General features: G+C 44.6%; 1 long non-coding RNA gene across 1 annotated transcript in view; it reads right to left on the reverse strand.

Annotated features, from left to right (window-relative positions):
- Window positions 1-4,007: 4,007 nt before the first annotated feature.
- LOC105378458 (uncharacterized) overlaps window positions 4,008-13,000 on the reverse strand; it is a 31,140-nt gene continuing 22,147 nt past the window's right edge. Inside the window, exons 3-4 of the long non-coding RNA XR_946255.3 lie at window positions 12,219-12,334; window positions 4,008-4,191 (exon numbers count right to left, since the gene is read on the reverse strand). This is a non-coding gene — a long non-coding RNA (uncharacterized LOC105378458). The remainder of the gene's footprint in view (window positions 4,192-12,218; window positions 12,335-13,000) is intronic.

Below are 13,000 nucleotides of genomic sequence, written 5' to 3' on the forward strand. Positions count from 1 at the left end.
TGCACTCCAGCCTGGGTGACAGTGTAGGGCCCTGTCTCTAAAAAAATAAGTAAATAAGAAAATAAAAGTCACCTATTAACCTTTTAAAAAGTAAAAAGACAGTTTTCCCTATCATCCCAGGCCTCTAGAAAAATCATTCTCTTCTTTGGTCTTTATTTCAAGAACTTATTTCAACTTGCTAGGATTGCCTATAACACATTGTACTGTGGCTGCTTCCATGTGTGACTATCCATCTCCCTCCTCCCTAGCTCCAACCCTCCTCCCCTAGTAATAATAAACTGTGAGCTATTTGAGAGACTATATCTAAATATCCACATGGTGCAGCACCTAAGAGTGCAGGCTTAAGAGACCAGACTGACGGGGAAGAAGCCTTTTCTGCCACTTACTAGTTACATGACCTTGGGGTCTTTCCTTAATCTTTCTGAGCCTCTGTTTCTTTATCTGTAAAATGGGACTAATGATAGAACCAACACCTCACAAGGTTGTTGCAAGGATTAATGGAGATAACACATGTAAAACACTTAGGATAATGTTTAACACAAACTAAGAACATGATAAAAGTTGGCAAATACTCTATGCTGGAAAAAAATAAAACCAGAATAAACACTCATCCCACCACCAAGTGGAAGAAAAATTGTATGGTGTTTTGTTTTGTTTTGTTTTTTCCTAAGGCAGAGATGAGTAGGCTTCAGCCACTTGGTTTTTCTTCATTTAAAATGCAATATTGGCAGCATCACCTTCAGCCACAGTCGCTTATAGAAGGAAGGGATTGGTCAATAAGGGATGACCCAAGGGGGTACCAGAATCCCCAAATGACTTTCCCCTTCCTAAGGCTGAAGGCTCCGTGCTGCTTCTGCTTGGGCTCAGGCCATGCCAGTCCTCCTCCTCTTCCTTTCTTTTTTTTTTTCCCATCCCTCCCTCCCCACTTCAAACCCTGGGAAAAAAAAATGAAGAGAAGCACACCAACCAAGAAGCCTTTTCACTTCATTGTGTTTTCCAGCTAGACCTGAACAGACGGCGATCAATTCAACCCTCTCTCACCCTCCCTTCTCTCTTCTTCTCTCATGTCCTCTTTGTGTTTTTGTTTTTTTTTCTCTCAGGCTGTGTCTTCAGGCTTAGGAAAAAGCAGATACCTCCCAGTAGCATGAAGATGCAAGAAGCTGCAGTTGCCTGTAGCAAACACAACGTGATTGTAACAGGTCCCCATGGCCCTTGGTGCATGGAAAGGTGGACAAGCAGGGGATCCCGTTTGGATTCTCTGAGAAACTTCTCAGCTTGACCACGTCTGTCTCAAGGTTTGGCTGCAAGGAGTCACACAGAAAACCTTGCTTTCCTACTTCCTCTGGCCAGGAACCTTCTGAAGTTCGCTCCATCCCCAAGCAAAGAGTTTTCATTCCAAGCTTGAGCAAATCTGGCCCGTTGGACTTGAAATCAATGAGTATGAAGGAGGAATACACCTTTTCCCTTTTCAAAGCAGCCTAGTGGGATTTTATTTTTTTTCCAACAGGGTAACTCCAAATTGGCAGGGCTTTCAAAGCTACAAATTTCCATGTCCCCAGGCCTCACTGAAGAAAAATTTCCTGGTTAGGCTGGCATGTGTGGAAGTTTTAGGTGTGCAGCAGGTGAGAAATGCTGAACAAATAGTTAAACCTGAGCTATGAATCAAATTAGTCTAAACAAGATTCTCCCCTAACCCCATGCTGTACTAGTTACCCTCCTCAATTCCTACCCCAAACATATATTCAAAAATAGCTACTATTTGTCAAACACCCAGTAAGTACCAGGAACTGAGCTACATGTTTTATTTACTTACATTACTCATTTTATCTTCACAACTATGCAAGGTAGAAATTATTTATTGTTTCTTTTCTTTTCTTTCCTTTTCTTTTTTTGCTCTGTCTCCCAGGCTGGAGTGCAGTGGAGCAATCTTGGCTCACTGCAAGCTCCACCTCCCAGGTTCACGCCATTCTCCTGCCTCAGCCTCCCGAGTAGCTGGGACTACAGGCGCCCACCACCACGCCTGGCTAATAATTTTTGTGAGACGGGGTTTCACCATGTTAGCCAGGATGGTCTCGATCTCCTGACCTTGTGATCTACCCGCCTTGGTCTCCCAAAGTGCTGGGATTACAGGTGTGAGCCACTGCGCCTGGCCTTATTGTTTCTTTTCTAAGGCACAGACAGGTTAAGCAATTTCCCCAAAGTCACTCAGTTCAAATCTCATTCCAACAATAACATGCGTGAATCTTAAAATCATCATGCAGAGCAAAAGAAGCCAGACAACAAAAGAGTATGTACTGTATGGTTTTGTGTATATAATATGATAGAAAATGCAAATTAATCAATAGTGATAGAAAGCAGACCAGTGGTTACCTAGGGATGGAACAGAGGGGAGATGGATTATAAAGGAGCACGAAGAAACTTTAGGGTATGATGGAAATGCTGATAATCTTGATTGTTATAAGATTGTTATAATGGTTTTGCAGGTATAGGCGTATGTCAAAACTGACCAAATTGTACACGTTATATATATGCAAGTTAATATGCCTCAAGTATATCTTGATAAGATTGAAACAAGGTACAAAAAAAGCTGGATGCAGTGGTGCCTGCCTGTAATCCCAGCAACTGAGGCTGAGGCAGGAGGCTCATTTGAGCCTAGGAGTTCAAGACCAGCCTGGTCAACTTAGTGAGACTCTATCTCAGGAGAAAAAAAAAAAAAAAAGCTGAACATTACCCTGATCTGATCACTATAATATGTACCTCATAAATATGTACATTATTTAAATTAATATCTAAATTATTATTTGTTAATTTTTTAAAAAGCATGGGGGGCCGGGCGCAGTGGGTCACACCTGTAATCACAGCATTTTGGGAGGCCAAGGCTGGCCAATTACCTGAGGTCGGGAGTTCGAGATCAGCCTGACCAACATGGAGAAACCCCATCTCTACTAAAAATACAAAATTAGCTGGGCGTGGTGGTGCATGGCTGTAATCCCAGCTACTCAGGAGGCTGAGGCACGAGAATCGCTTGAACCCGGGAGGCAGAGGTTGCGGCAAGCCGAGATGGCACCATTGCACTCCAGCCTCGGCAAAAAGAGTGAAACTCCATTTCAAAAAATAAAAAAAAAAGCATAGGAGTAACTTTATCAATCTTCTTTGTGATGTGAATCTGGTTTACATGCAAATCCTTGGCACATTGAATAAATGTACAGATCCTTATCATGTTCTAAATGAAATCATTCCCCCCAAAAAGCATAAAATATCCCATCCCTAATCATTTCTAGAAATGCATGTACTCTTTGATATGTTCGATATCATAGGGCTTAGCCAGACTCTGGTTCAGACTTTTATTTTATTTTACCATTATTATTTTTGAGACAGTCTCACTCTGTTGCCCAGGTGGAATGTAGTGGTGCGATCTCAGCTCACTGCAACCTCCACTTCCTGGGTTCAAGCAATTCTCTGCCTTAGCCTCCCGAGTAGCAGGGACTACAGGTATGCACCACCATGCCTGGCTAATTTTGTATTTTTAGTAGAAATACAAAATACATAATTTCTTCATGTTGGCCAGGCTGGTTTCAAACTCCTGGCCTCAAGTGATCCGCCTGCCTCAGCCTCCCAAAGTGCTAGGATTACAGGCATGAGCCACCATGCCCAGCCAGGTTTAGACTTTGATGCTGTTGTCTCTGGGTCCTGTTGGGGTGAGAGGACCTAGCTGTTACTGGTTTTTCTCACTGGAAATTCCAATTAGTGAGGCCTATGATTCTAGAAATTCTTTTTCAGCACTCACAGTTAGGTCTCCTATAATGTCAATGTGATGCTAATGATTATTTAAACCAGCAGTTCTCAAATTTTTTGGTATAAGGATCCTTTCACACTCATGAAAAGTATTGAGGACACCACAAAGCTTTTGTTTATTGTGGATAATATCTATCAGTATTTGCTCAGAAATTAAAGCTGAGAACTTTTAAAGACAGTTAATTCATTTTTAAAAATAATAAACCATTATATATGACATAAATAACATTTTAATTGAACATAATTGTATATCCGAAAAGAATAGTGAGAAGAGTCACATTGTTTTTCATTTTTGCAAATTGAGTTTCTGATTCCATAGAAGATATGATTCTCATATTTGCTTCTTCAATCTGTTGCAACGTCACATATTGTGTAGCATCTGGAAAATTCCACTGTCTACTTGTGAAAGAATGAAAATGAAAAAGGTAAATAACATCTTAGTATTAATAAGAAAATAGTTTTAACCTTGCAGACCCCTGAAAAGATCTTGGAGATTCACAGGAGTCCCCGAACCACACTTGAAGAACTGCTAGGGGCCAAGTGTGGGGCTCATGACTGTGGCTCAGTCCCAGCATTTTAGAAGGCTGAGGCGGGCAGATTGCTTGAGCTCAGGAGTTCGAGATCAGCCTGAGCAAATCTCCGTGGCAAAACTCCATCTCTACAAAAAATACAAAAATTAGCTGGGTGTGGTTGTGTGTGCTGTGGTCCCAGCTACTTGGGAGGCTAAGGTGGGAGGATTGCTTGAGCCCAGGAAGTCGAGGATGCAGTAAGCCATGATTGTGTCACTGCACTCCAGCCTGGGCAACAGAACAAGATCCTGTCTCAAAAAAAAAAAAAAAAAAAAAAAAAAAAAAAAAAAAAAAAGAACTACTGATCTAAAGTGTTCAGGACCATAAACTATTTATTCCAGTTCTTATGCTGCCACCCCCACTATTTTACCTCTCCTACCTTGTGAAATCTTGAGAGACAGAGGAAGAAACTGGGGCACCGTGAAGCATCAGATGGAAGGTTGTACTAATAACTCTCCTTCAAAGTCCTTTCCACCCCTGTGAGTCTGTGGCATGGGGTATTTTTCTTTTAAACAAAATCAAGAGAGCCAAAGACTCAGCAGGACCTAGATGCACAGGATGGGGGGACTAAAGCACAACAATGGCAACATCGCAGAGATTCCTTGTGACCCTCTTGCAGAAAGAGGAACAGCTGCCTCCTCTCAGGGCTTTGCTCTGGTTTACCCCATAGTGGGTGTCAAAGCAAGAACCTGGGGTCCTGAGGGAAGTTCAGACAAATCTGAGCTCTTACCTGTTCCCTAAACAAGTGCTTGCTGGGTTAAAGCCAGCACTGGTCCAAATCCTCAATCCAAATTGAAAACTTTGGCCCCTGACACGGGGTAGAAGACAGTGCATGCATTTAGGAGTCAATAAATTCCAATGTGAATTTTGTTATTCCTTTTTACAGAGTATGCAACCTTGGGTAAATTACTGGCCTTTTCTGTCTCTTTCTTTCTTTCTTTTTTTTTTTTTTTTTTTTTTTTTTGAGACGGAGTCTCGCTCTGCCTCCCAGGCTGGAGTGCAATGGCGAGATCTTGGCTCACTGCAACCTCCGCCTCTCAGGTTCAAGCATTTCTCCTGCCTCAGCCTCCTGAGTAGCTGGAATTACAGGTGCCCACAACCAGGCCCAGCTAATTTTTGTATTTTTAGTAGAGATGGGGTTTCACCATGTTGGTCAGACTGGTCTCGAGCTCCTGACCTCAGGTTCTCAGGTAATCCACCCACCTTGGCCTCCCAAAGTGCTGGGATTACAGGCGTGAGCCACCGCGCCCAACCTCATTACTGGACTTTTCTAAACCTCAGCTTCTTCATCTGTAAAAGGGAAATCATAATATCCTTATTTTTTTCTCTTTATTTATTTATTTATTTATTTGTTGCTGAGATGGAGTCTCGCTCTGTCGCCAAGCTGGAATGCAGTGGCACAATCTCAGCTCACTGCAACCTCTGCCTCCCGGGTTGAAGTGATTTTCCTGCCTCAGCCTCCTGAATAGCTGCAATTACAGGTATGCACTAGCACGCCTGGCTAATTTTTGTATTTTTAGTAGAGACGGGGATTCACCACGTATACCAGGCTGGTCTTGAACACCTGACCTCAGGTGATCCGCCCACTTTGGCCTCCCAAGGTGCTGGGATTACAGGCGTGAGCCACCGCCCCCGGCTTCTCTTTATTTTTTAAAAAGAGATGGCTCTGGGCATGGTGGCTCATGCCTGTAATTGCAGCGTTTTGGGAGGCTGAGGAGGGACGCCCACTTGAGACCAGCAGTTTGAGACCAGCCTGGGCAACATAGTGGGACCCTGTCTCTACAAAAAATACAAAAAAAAAAAAAGTCTTTTAAATGTCAGGTACAGTAGCTCATGCCTGTAATCCCAGCACTTTGGGAGGCTCAGGTGGGAGGATTGCTTGAGGCTAGGAGTTTAAAACTAGCCTGGGCAGGCCGGGCGGCGCGGTGGCTCACGCCTGTAATCCCAGCACTTTGGGAGGCCGAGGTGGGCAGATCACGAGGTCAGGAGATCGAGACCATCCTGGCTAACATGGTAAAACCCCGTCTCCACTAAAAATAAAAATTAGCTGGGCGTGGTGGCAGGCACCTGTAGTCCCAGCTACTCGGGAGGCTGAGGCGGGAGAATGACATGAACCTGGGAGGCGGAGCTTGCAGTGAGCTGAGATCGTACCACTGCACTCTGGCCTGGGCGACAGAGCAAGACTCCATCTCAAAATAAATAAATAAATAAATAAAACTAGCCTGGGCAACACAGCAAGATCACATCTCTAAAAAAAAAAAAAAAAAAAAAAGAAAAAGAAAAAGAAAAAAATTAGCTAGGTGTGGTTCACACACGTGTGGTCCCAGCTACTTGGGAAGCCAAGGTAGGAGGATTACATTGAGCCACGGTCACACCACTGCACTCCAGCCTGAGCAACAGAGCAAGACTCCATCTCTAAAAAGTGAGAGAGAGAAATGGGATCTCGCTCTGTTTCCCAGGCAAGTCATAGTGCACTGCAGCCTCCAACTCCTGGGCTCAAGGGATCCTCCCATCTTCCCCTCCTGAGTAACTGGGATTACAGATGTGCGCCACTGTGTCCAGCTCATAATATCCTTCCAAAAGGATTACTGCATAGATTCAATTCAATAATATATGTAAGAAGCCCAGTAGAGTACCTGGCATGTAACAGAGGCTCACTTTTAATGCCTGTTATACTTTTACAGAAAATCAAAGGGCAAAATGGAAATGTACCACAGCTTCCAGCATTAGACAGGCCTGGGTTTGAATCCTAACAACACTGGCTTTGGGCAAATCACTTCACCCACCTTGTACAGTTATTGTGAGGTGATTGAAATAATGCCTATAAATCACCTGGTATCTAGCCCATGTCTTACAGATGGCCACTGTTACAACCGACCATTTGCATCCGGGGCTACAGGGAAACCCCTCATCCCCAAGGGCAGCCTCTCTGGGGGCTAGTCCTTGGTCCCTGGACACAGGTTAGGATGGCTGGCTCTCAGGCTTCAGTGAGGCCTTTTCCAAAGGAGTGAATCGAGTCCTCACTTGGGATTTCCCATTTCCAAATATTCACCAGTTCCCCTGTCTCCAAATATTGCACAGAGGCCATCACTGATAGTGGCGTTAATGCCCAGAGGAACTGTTCCCAAAGCAGAGGGAGAATGGACACTGTGTGTAAACACTTAACTCCACACAGAGGAGAGGCTGCACGTGGGCTCTGGAGTCAGACTCAAATTCAAATCTTGGCTCTCCCATTTCTGTACTAACTGCAAGACATAGGGCAAGTTACTTGGCCTTTGTAAGCCCACTTTCTCATCTGTAATTGGGAACAATGACAGTACTAGTGCTGAATGTGAAAAGCTCTTAGCATAGTACCTGGCACACAGAAAATATAGATACATTTTATCTATTATTATCACTATTTCTATTATTTTTACAGCCAGATACCAATGTTTTCACAATAATCCATATATAGCTCACATTCCTACCTAGACATGCTCAGGAAGGAGCAGCATGGCTGTGGAAAAAAATTGCTTATTTTCACTTTTATGTACTTTCAAAGGTTTCTTTAGCAAGCACTGGGGACTAGGTAATACAGAAAACTTTCAAAAGAGGGAGAGGAGAGGGAGGAGGAGAAGGGAGAGGAGTCGAGGGTAAGGGATGAGAAAGGAGGAACAGAGAAGCAAGGGGAGAGGGAGAAATTTAAAAACTCAAGCTGAGGCCAGATGCGGTGGTTCATGCCTGTAATCTCAGCACTTTGGGAGGTCGAGGTGGGTGGATAACCTGAGGTCAGGAGTTCGAGACCAGCCTGGCCAAAATGGCAAAATCCCGTCTCTACTAAAACTACAAAAATTAGCCTGGCGTGGTGGCAGGCGCCTGTAATCCCAGCCACTCAGGAGGCTGAGGCAAGAGAATCGCTTGAACCCGGGAGGCGGAGGTTGCAGTGAGCTGAGATCATGCCACTGCACTCCAGCCTAGGTGACAGAGCGAGACTCCGTCTAGAAAACAACAACAACAAAAATCCCAAAACACTGAAACTGAGCTCCGGACCCAGGAGAAACCACACATCCTGGGGCTCAAACCACTGGGCCGTGTGACTCGTGCGCTTGCGCGGCAGGGAGCAGCGGGACTAGGAAATCTCCTCTGAGAGGACAGTCAATCAGAAGGCGCTCAGGGGAGTCGGGTCTCTCTGTTGCTGGGGCGACCTTGGTCACTGAGGAACCACGTAACCTAAAGGACTTCGGCTCCGGGTACCACCCGTGCCTGCCCCCAAGGCTCTTGGTTGGGAGGGCCCCCGAAATCGTTGGGAAAGTGGGAGGAGAAGGGGAGAGGGGCAGAGCTGTGGAAAGGGTGGGAAATTGTAAGACGGCCCCAGAGGCTGAGAGAATGAATGCGTGCGGGGCTGGGGAGGACCAAGATGAGGACAGGACCTGTAGAAAAGACCCCAGAGATGACTGGCGGTTCTGGGACCTGTGGAAAACGCTCTCCTTGGAAAATGTGGCCTTGAAAAGGATGAGGAATGGTTAGCGAGTGCTCGCTCTATGCCGCTTTACGTGCATTTAATCCTAAGGGAGGTTGAGTCAATTTGCTCATCGTTCCACAGCTGTTAAGTGACGGAGCCAAATTCAACCTTGGGCCTGACTCCTAGATCCTTGGCTGTCTCCCGGGAGGTGCCCCGAAGGCCTCCCCAGCTCCACACGAGCGCTTGGAACGCTCTGAGGGAAAATACGAACAGAAGGAAAGGTGATGGCGGCGGGAGAGATAAGGAGGGAGCAATCAAGACGGGGAAGAGAGGCCTGGTGCAGTGGCTCAAGCCTGTAATCCCAGCTCTTGGGGAGGCCGAGGAAGGCGGATCACCTGAGGTCAGGAATTGGAGACCAGCCTGGCCAACATAGTGAAACCCCGTCTCTACTAAAAATAAAACATTAGCTAGGTGTGGTGGCACACGCCTGTAATCCCAGCTACTCGGGAGGCTAAGGCAGGAGAATCACTTGAACCCGGGAGGCGGAGGTTGCAGTGAGCCGAGATCGTGCCACTGCACTCCAGCCTGGGCGACAGAGCGAGACTCCGTCTCAGAAAAAAAAAAAAAAAAAGGTAAGAGAAAGGAAGAGGTTGAGAGAGATAGGAAATGGCGACGAGACTGAAAAAGGATGGAGAGTGAGGAGGACAAAGAAGCGTTGAGGGGGAGCCATAGGAAAAGAGGAGTCCGTTGAGAAGAAGACAGGATGGAGCCTTGGTGGGACCTGAGGGTGAGCCTGGAGAAGACTGAGAAGGAAATGGAGTGGGGTCTCTGAAGAGTCAGAATCAGCTGGACTGTGATCCTAGGCGCTGAGGAGCAAGGGTTGGAGTGTAGTTGGTGTTTGTGATTTATTTTCTTGCTGTGAAAGCATGGACCACGGGGATTATTATACATGGAGCTATCAGCCAACTACTCAGCATGGCAAGAATGTCTGCCCGAGGGAAGCTGGTACTGAGGTCTGACTCCTTATGGCTTGAACCGTGTCGGTCTCAGCTTACAGTTGAGGCAGGATTGCCATATTCAGATTATTGGTGCACTGAATGGGCTCACCTGGCACATCTTTGCAGAGTCATCAACAGTTTCATCTAAAGTTCTTTTCCCTTTGAATCATGTTGTGGTTTGTAGGATTTTGGTTAAAAAAAAAAAAAAAGATGTATTTTGTTACTAATGTAATTGTTTCACAGTCTTTATCTTTTTTCCTCTAAAAAATCTGATCAGATCCTGTGTTTGATCTTAGACATTGTGGACTAGGAAGGGCAGGTTTTTTTTTTTTCCTTCTTGGGTTTTTGCTGGGGCCCTGGAGTTCAATTTCTTGAAGGAATGTTATTGGAGGACATGAACATATCAGAAAGGAAGTAGCAATGGAATAGTATTCAGCAGTAAAAAGGAATGAAGAACTGATGCATGCTACGACATGGAGAAACCTTGAAAAAATTATGCTAAGAGAAAGAAGCCAGTCACAAAAGACCATATATTGTAGGATTCCATTCATGTGAACTGTTCAGAATAGGAAAATTCATAGAGACAGAAAATAGATTAGCGGTTGCCTAGGGCTGGGGGACATTGAGGGGAATGAGGGTGACTGTTAAAAAGGTCCAGGGTTTCTTTGGGGGATGATGAAAATATTCCTAAAATTCTTGTGGTGATGGTTGCACAGCTGTGGATATACAAAAAACCCACCTTAAATGGGTGAATTGTATGGAACTATTATTATTGGAGGCAGGGTTGCCCAGGCTCTGTTGCCCAGGCTGGAATGCAGTGGCACAATCTCGGCTCACTGCAACCTCTGCTTCTCAGGCTCAAGCAGTCCTCCCACCTCAGCCTTCTGGGTAGCTGGGACTACAGGCGCACACCACCATGCACAGCTAATTTTTGTATTTTTTGTAGAGACAAGGTTTCACCATGTTGCCCAGACAGGTCTCAAACTCCTGGCCTCAAGTGATCCACCCGCCTCAGCCTCCCAAAGTGCTGGGGATTACAAGTGTGAGCCAATGTACCCAGCCAAATATGTGAATTATATCCAAATAAAGCTGTTACCAAAAAAAAAAAAAAAAAAAAAAAGAAAGCAAAGAAAGAAAGGAGGGAGCAAAGAAGTAGAGGTGGTATCATATCTAATTTAGGGAGCATAGAATGGGTCAGTCTGGCTGGCATTTAAAGAAGCAGTTAAGAATGAAGCTGAAACCAAACAACAAAGGGCCAAAGAATTTCACGTCAAAGAGTTTGGACTTCATCTTATAGCTCTGAGCTGTCAAAGATAATAGTCACAAGCCATATGTGTCTACTGAGCACTTAAAATATGGCTAGCCCAAATTGAGGTGTGCTGTAGGCATGAAATACACACCAGATTTTAAAGACATGGTGAAAAAAAGAATGTAAAATATCTCATTAATAACTTTTGTGGTGATTACTTTTGAAATGATAACATTTGGGGTTTATTGGGTTAAATAAGATGTATTATTAGTGTTACTTTTTAAAATCATGTTTATTTGCAGGGCATAGTAGCACATGCATGTATTCCCAGCTACTCAGGAGGCTGAGGTAGGAGGATCACTTGAGCCCAGGAGTTTGAGGTCAGCCAGAGCAACATAGCAAGACCCATCTCAAAATAAAATAAAAGTCTATAAAATGAACTGGGCGTGGTGGCTCATACCTGTAATCCCAGCACTTTGGGAGGCCAAGGCAACAGGATTGCTGAGTGCCAGATCAGCCTGGGCAACACAGTGAGACTCCATCTCTTAAAAAAAAAAAAAAAAAGAAAGGAAATTTAAAATTGCTTATGTGACTCACATTATATTTCTATTGGATAGTGCCATTGTAGATAGTGGGAAGCCGTTAAGGATTCTCGAATTAGAACAAGGGTTGGCAAATGTTTTCTGTGAAGGGCCAGATGGTAAGTATTTTACGGCTTGAGGGCCATACAGTCTCTGTTGCAACTATTCAACTCTGCTGTTGTAGTAAAAAAGCAGCTATAGACAATAACGTAAACAATTAGTATAGCTTTGTTCCAGTGCAACCTTATGGACACTGAAATATGAATCTTATATAATTTTCACATTATGAAATATTGTTCTTCTTTTGATTTTTTCCCAATCACTTAAAAGTGTAAAAGCCATTCTTAATTTGTGGGCTATATGAAAACAGGTGGTGAATGGGATTTGGCCTCCAGGCCATAGTTTACTAACCCACAAGTTAGAGTTGAGCTGGAGTCTCTGAAAATCTCTTTCAACCACCAATACCATTGGTGCTCTCCCCACACACCACCATACAGTGCTTGGAAAATTCCTTCCTTTTTACAAACAGCATGGATTTGCATAATATTTTATCTGGAAGGGACAGTAGGGATCAGATACTCCTACCTTATCATATTGCATTTGAGGAAACTGAGTCTCAGAGAGCTAAACTCACATAAACAAGGTCACGTTGCAGTGAAGAGGTTCCAAATAACGGGAGTAATGGTGAGACTATCCGGCAGCTGGCAAAAAAGGAAGGGTCTGAAGTTAGACTGAGTACCCAGGCTCCATTTAGGGGCTCCAAATTCTAGCTCATCCTTCCATTCATTCATTAATTCTTTCATTTACCACTTATTCATTTTATTTTATTTTTTGTCTTTTGAGACAAGAGTCTCACTCTGTTGTCCAGGCTGGAGTGGAGTGGTATGATCTTGGCTCACTGTAAACTCTGCTTCCTAGGCTCAAGCGATCCTCTGCCTCAGCCTCCTGAGTAGCTAGACCACAGGCATGCAACCACCACGACTGGCTAATTTTTGTATTTTTTATAGTGACAGGGTTTCACTATGTTGCCTGGGCTGGTCATGAACTCTTGGGCTCAAGTGATCCACCCACCTCAGCCTCCCAAAGTGGTGGGATTACAGGCAGGAGCCACCGTGCCCATTTTATTTCTTTTCCTTTCTTTTAACTTTATTTTATTTTTAGAGACAGGGTCTTGTTCTGTCAGCCAGGCTGGAGTGTAGTGGTGCAATCATGACTCACTGCAGCCTCGATCTCCTGGGCTCAAGCCATCCTCCCACCTCAGCCTCCTGAGTAGCTGGGACTATAGGCACATGCCACCACACCGAGCTAATTTTTTATTTTTATTTAGTAGAGACGGGGTCTTGCTTTGTTGCCCAGGCTGGTCTTGA

The sequence above is a fragment of the Homo sapiens genome, chromosome 10, assembly GCF_000001405.40.
Source record: "Homo sapiens chromosome 10, GRCh38.p14 Primary Assembly".
Classification (NCBI taxonomy): Eukaryota; Metazoa; Chordata; class Mammalia; order Primates; family Hominidae; genus Homo; species Homo sapiens.